The sequence below is a fragment of the Homo sapiens genome, chromosome 14 (genome assembly GCF_000001405.40).
Source record: "Homo sapiens chromosome 14, GRCh38.p14 Primary Assembly".
In the NCBI taxonomy this organism is placed as follows: Eukaryota; Metazoa; Chordata; class Mammalia; order Primates; family Hominidae; genus Homo; species Homo sapiens.
In genome coordinates this window covers 19,370,920-19,386,214 of record NC_000014.9, presented here as the reverse complement: position 1 = coordinate 19,386,214, position 15,295 = coordinate 19,370,920, and the positions used below count along the sequence as shown (strand labels likewise).

Genomic DNA, 15,295 nt, shown 5'->3' with positions numbered 1-15,295 from the left:
GGGTAGAAGAAGATGTACCATGTCCGGCCGCTAGTTGGTGACTGGTGCACCTGCTCCTGGCATACCCTTGCAGAGGTGGGTGGTTGCTCTTTGAGCCAGCTTGGCCTTGCCCGGCATGCACAAGCCTCAGTGCAACAACTGTCCTACAAATGGAGACACAGGAAACAAGCAGCAGGCTCAGGAGCAGGGTGTGCGCTGCCTTTGGGGCTCCAGTCCATGCCTCGGGTCGTATGGTACTGCAGGCTTCTTGGTTGCCAAGAGGCGGACCACAGGCCTTCTTGAGGAGGACTTTACGTTCAAGTGCAGAAAGCAGCCAAAATTACCATCCATGGGACTAAGCCTTCTGTGGCCCTGGCGAGACTTAAAATTTGTGCCAAGGCAGGACATGAGCTCACTCGGAGCAGCGTGTCAGTAGCTGGGGCCTATGCATGCCAGGCAAGGCCAAGCTGGCTCAAAGAGCAACCAGCCACCTCTGCAAGGGTGCGCCTAGTGCAGGCGGAGCATCCACCACCTCACCCGCTCGAGGAAGTGGGGATGGCCAGGTTCCCACAGCCTGAGTGTCTGCCACCTTATTGCTGATGGAGCAGAGGCCTTAAGAAAAGCAGATGGCACTGTGGCCCTACCTTTAGGGTGGAAGAAGTGATGTACATGTCCGGACGCTAATTGGTGACTGGTACACCGGCTGCTGCTTACACCTTTGCAGAGGTGGCTGGTTGCTGTTTGAGCCAGCTTGTCCTTGCCCGGCATGCACAAGCTTCAGTGCAACAACTTTGCCACAAATGGAGCCATATAGAGGAAACAAGAAGCAGGTTCAGGAGAAGGGTGTACCCTGCCTTTGGGGCTCCAGTCCATGCCTCAGGTGTCACATGGCACTGCGGGCTTCTTGGTTGCCAAGAGGCAGACCACAGGCCATCTTGGGGAGGACTTTATATTCAAGTGCAGAAAGCAGCCAGGATTACCATCCAGGGGGACCTTCTATAGCCCTGGCCAAACCTTGCAGAGGTGTCTGGTTGCTCTTTGAGCCAGCTTGGCCTCCCTGGCATGCACAGGCCCCAGGTACTAACACACTGCTCCGAGTGTGCTTGTCCTGCCTTGGCTGCCACCTAATTCCTGATGGAGCAGTGGCCTTAGGAAAAGCAGATGGCACTGTGGCCCAACTTTAGGGTTGAAGAACTGATGTACCATGTCCGACCTGTAGTTCGTAACTGGTGCACCTGCTCTTCCTTGCAGAGGTGGCTGGTTGCTCTTTGAGCCAGCTTGGCCTTGCCGGGCATGTACAAGCTTCAGTGCAACAACTGTGCTACAAATGGAGCCACAGAGAGGAAACAAGCAGCAGGCTCAGGAGCAGGGTATGCGCTGCCTTCGGCTCTCCAATCCATACCTCAGGGCTCCTATGCCACTGCACGATTCTTGGTTGCCAAGAGGCCAACCACAGGCCATCTTGAGAAGGAGTTTATGTTCCACTGCAGAAAGCAGCCAGGATCACCATCCAGGGGACTTGGTCTTCTGTGGCCCTGGCCAGACATAGAATTTGTGCCAAGGCAGGACAAGCTCACTCAGAGCAGCGTGTTAGTACCTCAAATCTGTGCATGCCAGACAAGGCCAAACTGGCTCAATGAGCAACCAGCCACCTCTGCAGGGGTGCGTCTGGAGGAGGTGGACCAGCCACCAACCTTACCCAGTCAAGGAAGTGGATGGCCATGTTCCCACAGCCTGAGTGGCTGCCACCTGATGGCTGATGGAGCAAAGGCCTTAGGAAAAGCAGATGGCCCTTGGCCCTACCTTTTTGTTAGAAGAACTGATGTTCCATGTCCTGCAGCGAGTGAGGTTGGTGGCTGTGCCCCCAGCTCCTGGCACACCCTCGCAGAGGTGACTGGTTGCTCTTTGAGCCCTCTTAGCCTTGCCCAGCATGCACAAGCCTCAGTGCTACTACTGTGCTACAAGTGGAGCCATATAGGGGAAACGAGCAGCCATCTCAGGAGCAAGGTGTATGCTGCCTTTGGGGGCTCCAGTCCTTGCCTCAAGGGTCTTATGTCACTGTGGGCTTCTTGGTTGCCAAGAGGCAGACCATAGGCCGTCTTGAGAAGGACTTTATGTTCAAGTGCAGAAAGCAGCCAGGATTACCACCCTCGGGACTCTGCCTTCTGTGGCCCTGGCCAAACTTAGAATTTGGCCGTAGACAGGACAAGCTCACTTGGAGTAGCGTGTCTGTAGCTGGGGTCTGTGCATGCCAGGCAAGGCCAAGCTGGCTCAAAGAGCAACCAGCCACCTCTGCAAGGGTGCACCTAGAGCAGGTGGAGCAGCCACCAGCTCACCCACTCCAGGAAGCCGGGGTAGCCAGGTTCCCAAAGCCTGAGTGGGTGCCACCTAATGGCTGAAGAAACAGAGGCCTTAGGAAAACCAGATGGCACTGTGGCCCTACCTTTATGGTAGAAGAGCTGATTTAGCCTGACTGGCAGCGTGTGAGGTTGATGGCTGGTCTGCCTGCTGCTGGCACATCCGTGCAAAGATAGCTGGTTGCCCTTTGAGCCAGCTTGCCCTTGCCCAGCATGCACAAGCCTCAGTGCAACAACTGTGCTGCAAATGGGGCCATATAGAGGAAAGGAGCAGCTGGCTCTGGAACATGGTGTGCACTCCCTTTGGGCCTTCAGTCCATGTCTCATGGGTCGTATGACACTGCGGGCTTGTTGGTTGCCAAGAGGCAGACCACAGGTCATCTTGAGGAGGACTTTATGTTCCAGTCCAGAAAGCAGCCAGTGGTACCACCCAGGGGACTTGTGCTTCTGTGGCCCAGGCCAGACGTAGAATTTGACAAAGTCAGGACGGTCTCAGTCAGAGCAGCATGTCGGTCCCCGGGGCCTGTGCATGCCAGGCAAGGCCAAGCTGGCTTAAAGAGCAAGCAGCCACCTCTGTTAAGGGTGTGCCTGGAGCAGGTGGAGCAGCCACCAACCTCACCCACTGAAAGAAGCAGGGATGGCCAGGTTCCAACATCCTGGGTGGCTGCCAGCTGATGGAGCAGAGGCCTGAGGAAAAGCAGATGGCACTGCTTTGTGGTGCTCTTCTTTGTCTCTCTTGATCTTTTTCAGTTAATGTCTGTTTTATCAGAGACTAGGATTGCAAACCCTGCTCTTTTTTGCTTTCCATTTGCTTGGTAAATATTCCTCCATCCCTTTATTTTAAGCCTATGTGTGTCTTTGCACATGAGATGGGTCTCCTGAATACAGGACAACAATGGGTCTTTACTCTTTATCCAACTTGCCAGTCTGTGTCTTTTAACTGGGGCATTTAGCCCATTTACATTTAAGTTTAGTATTGCTACAGGTGAAATTTATCCTGTCATGATGTTGCTAGCTTTTTATTTTTCCCATTAGTTTGCAGTTTCTTTATAGTGTCAATGGTCTTTACAATTCGATATGTTTTTGTAGTGGCTGGTACTGGTTTTTCCTTTCTACGTTTAGTGTCTCCTTCAGGAGCTCTTGTAACACAAGAATGTGGATTTATTTCTTGTAAGGTAAATATGTGGATTTATTTCTTGGGACTGTATTCTATGGCCTTTACCCCAAGAATCATTACTTTTTAAAATGCAATTCAAATTAGCATAAAACATTTACAGCCTATGGAAAGGCTTGTGGCATTAGAATCCTTATTTATAGGATTATTTTGTGTTTTTTTGAGATATGGTCTTTGTCATCGAGGCAGAAGTGCCGTGGTTTGATCATAATTCACCACAGCCCTGAACTCTTGAGTGCAAGCCATCCTTTTGCCTTAATCTCCCAACCAGTTGGATCTACAAGCATAAGGCATCATGCGTGGCTAATTTTTTCACGTTTTTTTTTTTTTTTTTTTTTTTTTGTCGAGATTATGGTATCACTATGTTGCTCTGGCTGATCTCAAATGTTTGACCTCAAGGGATCTTTCTGCCACAGCCTCCTTAAGTGCTAGGATTATATGCATGATACACCATGCCTATTGTAGAGTATTACATTATTTTCAAAGTCTTATTGTAAGAGCCATTTATTGCCTTTGGCCTAAATAACTCAATATAATATCTCTGAAACTTTTTTTTGACAAATTTTGGGGCATGATGATGAGAGAAGGGGGTTTGAAACTTTCTAATAAGAGTTAACTTAGAGCCATTTAAGAAAGGAAAAAACACAAATTATCAGAAAAACAAAAGTAAGATCAAGTGCAAAAGTTCTGTGGCAAAGATGATGAGAGTAAAGAATATATGTTTGTGACTCATGGTGGCTTTTACTTTGTTCTTGCATTTCTGAGTACGGGTTAACATTTAAAGAATCTACATTATAGATAACATTTTATTGCAAGTAAATGTATTTCAAAATTTGTTATTGGTTTTGTATGAGATTATTCTCAGCCTACTTCATTATCAAGCTATATTATTTTATTAATGTAGTTCGATGATCTTACAGCAAAGCTGAAAGCTGTATCTTCAAAATATGTCTATTTGACTAAAAAGAAGTTATTCAACAGGAGTTATTATCTATGAAAAAAATACAACAGGAATATAAAAAACTTGAAGAGGATAAGAAGATGTTGGAAAAAGTAATATTAAATCTTAAAAAACATATGGAAAGTACACATTGGTGAAGACACATTGGTGAAGTACAAAAATATAAATTGGATCTAGAAGAAAGGGCAATTCAGGCAATAGAAAAATTAGTAGAAATCCCTTTAAAGGTTAGTTTGTAAAATCAGGTAAGTTTATTTATAATTTGCTTTCATTTATTTCACTGCAAATTATATTTTGGATATATATATATATTGTGCTTCCTCTGCCTGTCTTACAGCAATTTGCCTTGCAGAGTTCTAGGAAAAAGGTGGCATGTGTTTTTACTTTCAAATATTTAAATTTCCATCATTCTAACAAAATCAATTTTTCAGAGTAATGATTCTCACTGTGGAGTCATTTGATTATTAAGACCCGTTGGCATAAGATTACATCCTCTGACTATAAAAATCCTGGAAGAAAACCTAGGAAATATTCGTCTGGACTTTGCACTTGGCAATGAATTTATGGGTAAGTCCTCAAAAGCAATTGCCAGAAAAATGAAAATTGACAAGTGTGATTTAATTAAACTAAAGAGCTGCTTCTGCACAGCATGAGAAACTCTCAAGGGGGATTGAACAGACAGCCTACAGAGTGGAAGAAAATATTCACACACTATGCATACAGCAAAGGCCTATTATCCAGAATCTATAAGAGACTTAGACAAATCAAGAAGCAAAAAATAACCCCATTAAAAAATGGGCAAAGAACATGAACAGACAGTTTTCAAAAGAACACATACGTGGCCAACAAACATATTAACACATGCATACCATCACTAATCATTAGAGAATGCAAAACAAAACATCAATTAGATACCATCTCACACCAGTTAGAATGACTTCTGTTAAAAAGTAAAAATAATAAAAATATTTAAATATTCAATAATAAAATGTTATTTAGGTTGAGATAAATTAATTTGTCATTATTCTCAAAACGTGGATATTCAAGATTAACCTTACTTCACATGTAATAACACAACAACTACCTTAAAAAATAAAAGCTGGGGCCTAGCACAGTGTCTCAAGTCTGTAATCCCAGCACTTTGGGAAGCTGAGGTGGGCCTATCACGAGGTCAGGAGTTTGAAACAAGCCAGGCCAACGTGGTGAAACCCCATGTCCACTAAAAATACAAAAATTAACTAGGCATGGTGGTGGGCACCTGTAATCCCAGCTATTTGGGAGGCTGAGGCAGGAGAATCATTGGAACCTGGGAGGTGGAGGTTGCAGTGAGCTGAGATCAGGTCACTGCACTCCAGCCTGGGCAACAGGGCGAGACTCCATCTCAAAAATAAATAAATAAATAAATAAATAAATAAATAAATAAAATTAAATGAAGAAAAACAAAAGCTGGAAGTTCTATGAAAATATTAATGCACATACCATCTTTTGGAAATGTTCATGGTTTCTCTAGAGATTTCAATACCTAAATACCTATTCTAGCTTATTATAGTAACCTATAATTTGTATTATACCAACTATGGTATAAGAACCTTAAAATGTATATTTTTGTTTCCTCTCTCCTTTATACTATTTATATCATGCATTATAGTCTCAAATATTATGAATTCCATAATATAAAGTTACTCTTTTTTAAAAAAAATAAGACAATTATCTTTAGAGCAATGTAAAATAATTGGGCTATATATCTTTATATCTTCTCTGGCACTCTTTATTTCTTTGTGTAGTTTCAACTTTCATCTGCTTCCATATTCCTTTTGCCTCAAGAAATGATTTTGACATTTATTTTAGTGCAGACCTGTTAGCAAGGGACTCTTGCAGTGTTAATCTGAAAATGTCTTCATTTCATTGTTATTTTCACTATATAGTTAATGGATGTAAGATTGGGGGTTGACTTTTTTTAAGTTATTTAAAAATTTTGTATCATTGGTTTCTGACTTGTAGAGTTGCTGACACGCAGTTCACTGTAATGTCTATTTCTGTTTATCTCTCTACACAGTGTTCCTATTTTTCTGTGACTGAATTCAAGATTTTTGCTAATCGTTGGTTTTCAGCAGTTTGGCTAGTGTGATTATTCTAGCATTCTTTAAATTTTGTATTTATCTTTCTTGGATCTTTTTGAGTTTATTTGGTCTCCTTAGTCATCTTTTTCAAATTTTCCTTCCCTTACATTCTGTTTTTACTCTCCTGGAATTCCAATTAATTGTATTTTACTTAATTTCATGTTACCAGAGAATTCTTGGATTCACTGGAGTATTTTATTTGCTTGGCTCATTGGTTTATTTTGTTTTTCTCTTTCCTCCCTTTGTGCTACCATTCAAATAATTTGTATTGACCTAGCATAAAATTTACTGCTTCTTTCTTTAGCTCTGATGACCAGTCTGCTAATCAGCTTGCTGTTGTAATTCTTCATTTCTGTTCTCATGCTTTCACTTATTTCTAGCTTTTGCCTTTTACTGTTCCCATCTCTGCTGAAATTCCTCATTTTTCCATACATGTTGTCTTTTTTTAAGTAGATTCTTTAACATTTTGATCATTATTATTTTAAATTAGTTGCGTTTAGTTCCAACATCTGAATTATCTCTGAATTTGATTCTGTTGACTTTTTATCTTTTGAAAATATTATAACTCATAACCCAAATTTCTAACTTGATTTTATGTGTCTCCCAATTTCTAAAAAGTGCAGATCATCAGATGTAGAAAATCAGTAGATCATGAGATAATTGTTTATGTTGAGATTGTTTTATATTTATGTTTCATTTTGGTTTGTGTCATGCTATTAGTGTGGGCAGGAACAAAGGTTGGTTTTTGCCACGGTGTCTGAAACATTCAGTGAACCACGTAACTCAGATTTCTCCAGCAGCAGGCTGCTATATCATGTGCCTTGTGTGGGGCCTTAGGCTCTGGAGGGCATATTCCAGTGCTCCTGTTCCAGTTATCTTTCCGTAGTCCTTACCACATATGTCATAGGAGGGTCTCTCTCCACTTTCTTGTTCCTCTCTAACTGTAGAACATCATTTTGTATGTGTGTGTGTGTGTGTGTGTGTGTGTGTGTGTGTGTGTGTGTGTGTGTGTGTGTGACTAGGCAGAAAATTCAGGTTGGGGGCAGAGGGATGATTCATGTTATTTTTGAGCCAGTTTCATCATTGGACACTCAGAGAAGGGGTATTTTTAGCACTTCCTGACTCTTATTCTAGTGGGAATCAAACTGTCTCTTATCTGTGTTGTTTTTTGAGGAAGAAATGATACCTTGCCCTCCTCCCACCTCAGTGGTAGAAAACCTTTGATTTATATCATTGCAAGTTTTCAACCCCACACTAAGGACATACTATTTTATTTCTTCTTCCATAGGAACAATGTACCTTTGTCTGTGTCACTGGATGGAGATTTTCCAACCCTTTACCACAGTAGCACAACTCTGCATTAGTGCAAAATCCTGGGCCCCAAAACAATCCTTGTTCCTCTCCTGATGGAGAAGTATTTTTCTTGCATCCCTCCCCCAGAAGCAGTGATCCTTTGCCTGGTCTCAGGTGGGATAGGGTAGGGTATGAGAGGTTTCTTAACCTTCTCGGAAAGCTGATGTGTTTTGCTGCTTCTTATCTCCCAGAAACAGTAGACTTTTGCGTGGGTTCATGGACACAGATGCTTTTTTTGCCACAGAAAACGAAGGGTTTTGATTCTTAGGAGAGAAGCAAATGTTCATGTAGTCAATTTTTTTCTTATTTATTTTTTGCTTTGTTTTATTATTTCAGTAGTGATGAGTATGATCATTATTTTCCACTTATGCCACTTGCAACTCTAATATTTTGTTTTTATTAGCCCCCCTTTGACAGTTCAGCACTAAATCAAATGCAGATGATCATCAGTTGTGTGAATAAAGTGTTTTTATTGAGAACAAAATTGTTGATATAGACAGAAATTAGGATATTATCCTACTTAGCACAATATGTCACTGGCTCAAAATGTAAAATCCTCTTTAGGCTGAACAAAGAATGGTTCTTAAAACTATTGTCCCTTTTTGACAAATAAAAAAAAAACCCAATGCTTTTTATCTCATGGATAGATTATTAAAATAATTACATACCTGATCTTCATTTTATGTTCTCTCTCTTCAAAATATTTCCTTCAAAACTACTTTGACTGATTAGTCTCTTTTGAATTACGTTAGACTTTGTATTTTCTCCACAAGCTCATCAGGGTAAATCCTGCCTTTACATTTTTTATAAAAATTCTCTTTTTTTTTTTCAAATCTTAGTTGAGCTGAAAGATTTCCACCAAATGTCTCCTATGCCACAAAGCCTTATTTTACTTATCTCCCCATCCTCCTTGCTCAAGCTCATTTAGGAATGTTTTATTAAAACATTAATGCAATACTGTTTTTTAAAAAATCTGAACATATAGTATTTTCAATTTGAACACAAAATAGTGCTCTAACTTGAAAACAAGTTTTAGAAACAAATGTTTCTAGAAGGAGGATCAACAGTGTCATAAATATCATAATCCAATTCTCCTGTTTGTACTAAAACATTAGCAAATATTTATTGAGAAATTGCTGTCTGCCTGAAAGTATAATGCTTTTTGATACACATTATATCATATAAACTATGTACTATTATTTGTAGTATCTTAAGAGTAAAAATATCGAGTCTTAGAGATGTTAAGCAATGTGCTCAAATAGCATAGGGAAAGTTGGAATTCTGAAATTCCGACTATGCCATAGGTATGATAGGAGAATCAATGTTTGTCAAATGTAAGTGTCAAGTCATTGTGGGGATTCAGATGCCTCTGATTGCTAGGGTCAATAAACTTAAGTAGATCATGTCACTACTTAGTTAAATCTATTTCATTAAAGCAAAATTCCACAAAGATTATTGGCACCAAAACCATTATTTTTCTTCCTCCCTTCCTTCTTTCCTTCTTTGCTTCCTTCCTTCCTCGCTCTCTCGCCTGCCTTTCTTTCTTTCTTTCTTTCTTTCTTTCTTTCTTTCTTTCTTTCTTTCTTTCTCTTTTTCTTTCTCTTTCTTTCTTTCTTTTTCTTTCTTTTCTTTCTTTCTTTCTTCTTTCGAGACGGGGTCTCAGTCTGTTGCCCAAGCTGGAGTACAGTGGCACAATCATGGCTTACTGCAGCCCCAGCTTCCCCAGGCTCAGGTGATCCTCCCATCTCATCCTCCTGAGTAGCTGGGACTACAGGCAAGCCACTATGCCTGGCTAATTTTTTTTTTTTTTTTTGGTAAAGATTGGGTTTCACCATGTTGCCGAGCCTGGTCTGCAACTCCTCAGCTCAAGCAATCCACCTGCCTTTGCCTCCCAAACTATTGGGATTCCAGGTGTAAGCCTCACGCCTGGACAAAAATATTATTTAACAAGTTCAATTTAAGTATTAGATTTTGGACAATGAGGGATAGAATTTTCTACATCATAATTCATCTTGTGTTCTTTATTTAAAGTAATACATAAGGATTTCAATTCAATTCAAATATATTTATTAGCAAATTAAATGGCTTTTTCAGGATTCCAAACTTTTGTTGAAGACATAAATGTTAAATGATGTCACTAATTTTAATTAGATTAACAAAAAGGTATTCTGGTGTGTAATAACAGTGACAGAATGGGCTATTAATTTTATTTTCTTCCTCTTTCTCTCTTTCCCCTTTTTAAAATATTTTACTTTTTAGGCGCTTTGGAATCCTGCAGATATAATAATGATAATTAAACAAAACACTCAGAGAAACTGCCAACCCTAGGATGAAGTATATTGTTACTGTGCTTTGGGATTAAAATAAGTAACTACAGTTTATAGAACTTTTATACTGATACACAGACACTAAAAAGGGAAAGGGTTTAGATGAGAAGCTCTGCTGTGCAATCAAGAATCTCAGCCACTCATTTCTGTAGGGGCTGCAGGAGCTCCCTGTAAAGAGAGGTTATGGAGTCTGTAGCTTCAGGTAAGATACTTAAAACCCTTCAGAGTTTCCCCATTTTTTCCCATAGTTTCCCCAAAAAGGTTATGACACTTTATAAGAATGCTTCACTTGTGAAAAACAAATATCAAAGTCTTCTTGTAGATTATATTTAAGGACAAATCTTTATTCCATGTTTAATTTATTTAGCTTCCCCTGTAGCTAATATTTCATGCTGAACACATTTTAAATGCTGTAAATGTAGATAATATAATTTATGGATCATTAATGCCTCTTTAGTAGTTTAGAGAAAACGTCAAAAGAAATGGCCCCAGAATAAGCTTCTTGATTTGTAAAATTCTATGTCATTGGCTCAAATTTGTATAGTATCTCAAAATATAAATATATAGACATCTCAGATAATATATTTGAAATAGCAAATTCCTGTTAGAAAATAATAGTACTTAACTAGATGAGAATAACAGGTCGCCATTATTTGAATTGTCTCCTATTCGTTTTTCATTTGTTGTGTTACTCATGTTTTACTTATGAGGGATATATATAACTTCCGCTGTTTTCAGAATTATTGTATGCAGTCAGTATGAGAATGCAATTTAAGTTTCCTTGATGCTTTTTCACACTTCTATTACTAGAAATAAGAATACAGTAATATTGGCAAAGAAAATTGACCAGTTCAATAAAATTTTTTAGTAAATCTGATTGAAAATAAACATTGCTTATGGCTTTCTTACATCAATATTGTTATGTCCTAGACACCTTATCTGAAATTACGGCTTCAAAATTCTAATTATGTGCAAATGTGTAAAATATCAATACTTTATGTTCAAGCTGGGGCCTCTTCAGGCGTCCTGGGCTGAGAGAGAAAGATGCTAGCTCCGCAAGCCGGAGAGGGAACACCGCCACATTGTTACACGGACACACCGCCACGTGGACACATGACCAGACTCACATGTACAGACACACGGAGACATTACCACATGGAGACACCGTCACACAGTCACACGGACACACTGGCATAGTCACATGGACGGACACACAGACATATGGAGAAATCACATGGACACACCACCACACTATCACAGGGACACAGACACACGGAGACATCACCACATGGACACACTGTCACACTACCACAGGGACACGAGACATCACCACACTGTCACATGGACACACCATCACACACATGAACACACCGACACACTGCCATATGGACACTGGCACACACACTGCCACACTGTCACATGGACACACCTCCACACCATCACACCACCACACACACTGCCATGTGGACACAAGGACACACAGACACTGTCACACAGATACACAAAACACTGTCACACGGAGACATCACCATGCAGATACACCACCACATGGACATAGCACCAGACACTCTGCCACACAGATACACCACCACACAGAAATGCAGACACACTGCCACACAGACACCACCACATCGTTGCCACACTTTCATGTGTCAGCTGGCGGTGTGGGCCCCACGACTCTGGGCTCTAATCGAGAAATTACTTGGACATATAGTGAAGGCAAAATTTTTTTTTTTATTTTCTGAGACGTAGTGTCGCTCTGTTGCCCAGGCTGGAGTGCAGTGGCGTGATCTCCGCTCACTGCAAGCTCTGCCTCCCGGGTTCACGCCACTCTCCCGCCTCAGCCTCCCGAGTAGCTGGGACTACAGGCGCCCGCCAACTTTTTGTGTGTTCTTAGTAAAGACGGGGTTTCACCTTGCTAGCCAGGATGGTCTCGATCTCCTGACCTCGTGATCCGCCTGCCTTGGCCTCCCAAAGTGTTGTGACTACAGGCGTGAGCCAGCGCGCCAGGCCAAGAATTTCTTTCCATCTCCTGTGTCATTGCTTTGGCAGTGGAAACGCACGTGGCCTCTAAAGAGTGGGTCCCAAGGTCATGAAGGCCTGTGGGGTGGAGGGCATGGTCTCTCCTTCCAGGCTGGAATGGCGGAAGATGCGGCGGCAGAGGGGCTGCATGTCCTCCTCACAGCAGGCCCCTGAGGACCTTTATCCTCCTGAGCCATGAATGTCCCTCAGGAGTGTCTAAAGCACCCGGTGGGGCAGGGGGACCCCTATAGGCCTTAGGAGCTCTGGCCAATTAGTGGTCAGTAAAACGCAGAGGTGAACACCATAGAACCACAGGTCCAGGAGAATTTTGTAAAAGCTCTGAGGATGCCCTTTTTTGTTCTCCCACTGCAAAATTGTTTTAAAAAGGAAAAAAATCCAGCAATGTCTGGGGAAAGTCAATACTGAGTGTCAGGGCGGGATGCTGCCGCTGATAAGATCCCGGCGTCCTGGCCGAAAGTGGCCTCGGGGACCGCATCTCCGCGCACCATGGCAGCAAAGGCCAGCGGTTTGTGGGCGGATGGTGTCCCTGTGGCCATCCCCGCTCCTGAGTGCGGAAGGACAGACAGGAGCGGGGACTTCTGGGTGTTCCTGGTGTCAGCCAGCTTGACGCCGTTGCTGCTCCTTGAAGTCCGGGATTTGGAGAAGCACCTGGTTCTTGATGGAGGCCGTGGGCCTCTTGGTCCCCGCTTACCAGGCAGCGGCGCCAGCCTAGTTCTTAGCCCCGCCCTGGATGGGCGCCGCCTTCCATCACGCCAAAGACTTTCCAAAACAGCCCTTCTTGGGCCTGGGAAGCAGATCCTGGGCGTCCCTGGGGCCTGTGGCGCTGGCAGCAGCTCCACGTTGAGGTGGCCTGCAGCCCGCACTGCGGAGTGCTGGAGGTCCTTGAGCCGGGCGTGGGGAGGCCAATCCGCAGGTGCTGGGCGCCCGGTGCCGGTCGCAGTTTCAAAAGCGCCTGGAGGTGACATCCAGGAGCACCACCGCGCCGCCTGCAGGGAGACCCATGGCGAGGCGCGCCCCCTAAGGCGGCCAAGGAAAAAGCAGAAGGACGGGAAGGTGCCCCAGAGCTCGATCTCAGGCCGCAAGCACCGACCAAGTTCCTGGTCTCCGGGAGGTCTTTTTTTTTTTTATTTCTTCCATATTTCATCATTATTATTATTAACTTTTCAAGATGGATTAAAGACTTAAATGTTAGACCTAAAACCATAAAACCCTAGAAGAAAACCTAGGCAATACCACTCAGGACATAGGCATGGGCAAGGACTTCATGTCTAAAACACCAAAAGCAATGGCAACAAAAGCCAAAATTGACAAATGGGATCTAATTAAACTAAAGAGCTTCTGCACAGCAAAAAAAAAAAAAAAAAAAAACTACCATTAGAGTGAACAGGCAACTTACAGAATGGGAGAAAATTTTTGCAATCTACCCATCTGACAAAGGGCTAATATCCAGAATCTACAAAGAACTTAAACAAATGTACAAGAAAAAATCAAACAATCACATCAAAAAGTGGGCGAAGGATATGAACAGACACTTATCAAAAGAAGACATTTATGCAGCCAACAGACACATGAAAAAATGTTCATCATCACTGGTCATCAGAGAAATGCAAATCAAAACCACAATCCGGGAGGTCTTGCCAAAGACCACCTGGGCTTTCCGGGCAACGTGCTAGAGCTTCTGGGAAGCAGTCGTGGCCCTTTGGAGATTCCACGGCTTCGGATTCCTACTGCAGGATGCTCCACTGTGTCTGCCGGCCTCTGGCGTTTTGCTGAGGGGTAACCTCGGAATGGCTAGAAACAAGAACACTGAGATGGCCCAGTCGTGCCCCAGGCATTCCCGCACACGTGGTGGCAAAGAAAGGCGCGCAGACAGAGTGCCCAGTCAGCTTGGTCAGAGTTCTTTACAGGTTAGTGACAGACTTGGTCCCGCGCTTGTGTCCTCTCATGTTTTCAGTTAACCTGCGGACCCCCAGGGGCTCCTCCATCTCCACCGTGTTCTCCTCGGGCTGAAGCCCAAAGTCCCCCATTTTCTCCTCAAACAGCTCTCAGAGCCACTTCTGCAGGCAGGCGGACAGCGCGTGGACTCAGTGTCTGACTTGGGAAGCCACCTCTGAAGGAACTGCTGGGTGACTATGGTCGTAAGTCAATCAAAGCAGACTTTCCCTGGCTTGCTGCGCTACATTGATTTTGTTTTCGTATTTTAAAAGAAGCAGAAGGGAGGTCCTAGGAAATTTGCCCAGTGCAGATGCTGACAAGAGTGGTGACATGAAAAAGATTACCCAGAAGGAAAACAAGAGCTATTTTCTAAACATCTGAAATCTGTGTAGGCTTTTGGAAAAGTGAAACTAGATGCAAAGCACAATGATGTAATTCTGGCAATTTCCACTGACACAGAACTCAGTCAATCTGAATTAATCTAAGGGTTACAAGGAAAATGGCACTCCAAGAAGTACCTATTAACATCACTCAGCTGCTGTGAAATAGGCTTACAGGCAACATGGAGTGTCAATGATCCAGTGTTTAAAGTCAGTGATACAGATTGGACTAACATATCTAAGGCTCATAAAGTCTTCTTTAAAGGATTGACAGATGGTTTATCTGATATGTAGACCATGATTCTCAGCAGTTAACTAGCACAACTTGCTAATATCAATTGCTTGAGAAAATCAGATAATTGCTTGAGAAAATTAGGACATTGCTTTGAGGAAGTTAGGTAATTAAATAAATTACTTTTTTTAAGAATAGTTTAACATTTTGGCAAGTAGACTTTAAAGTAGATTGGTAATATTTTAAAGGCTACTTTTAAAGAAATAGCAATATAACATTTAATTATAAAAATAATGTTGGAAACAATTCAACTTTCTATCACAGATAATTTCACAAATATAGAAATACCATCTCAATAATTAGAAGAAGTAGCAGCAATTTCTGTCATTTTTATGCAAGTTACTCCTAGTCCATTTATTTGGTTTTAAATAGTG

At 42.3% G+C, this 15,295-nt stretch overlaps 2 long non-coding RNA genes and 1 pseudogene across 4 annotated transcripts in view; 2 read left to right on the top strand and 1 right to left on the bottom strand.

Moving 5' to 3' along the window:
* Positions 1-1,926: 1,926 nt before the first annotated feature.
* LINC01297-DUXAP10-NBEAP6 (LINC01297-DUXAP10-NBEAP6 readthrough) overlaps positions 1,927-15,295 on the top strand; it is a 115,486-nt gene continuing 102,117 nt past the window's right edge. For 2 of the 3 annotated variants that reach the window (NR_164308.1, NR_164309.1), the window contains exon 1: positions 1,927-5,038. This is a non-coding gene — a long non-coding RNA (LINC01297-DUXAP10-NBEAP6 readthrough). Of the gene's footprint in view, positions 5,039-10,203; positions 10,474-15,295 lie in introns of all 3 variants that reach the window. The other variant, NR_164310.1, reaches the window with a different exon arrangement.
* The window catches only part of LINC01297 (long intergenic non-protein coding RNA 1297), a 39,960-nt gene continuing 26,591 nt past the window's right edge, over positions 1,927-15,295 (top strand). The window contains exons 1-2 of the long non-coding RNA NR_164166.1: positions 1,927-5,038; positions 10,204-10,473. This is a non-coding gene — a long non-coding RNA (long intergenic non-protein coding RNA 1297). The remainder of the gene's footprint in view (positions 5,039-10,203; positions 10,474-15,295) is intronic.
* GRAMD4P3 (GRAM domain containing 4 pseudogene 3) lies at positions 12,719-14,398 on the bottom strand (annotated as a pseudogene).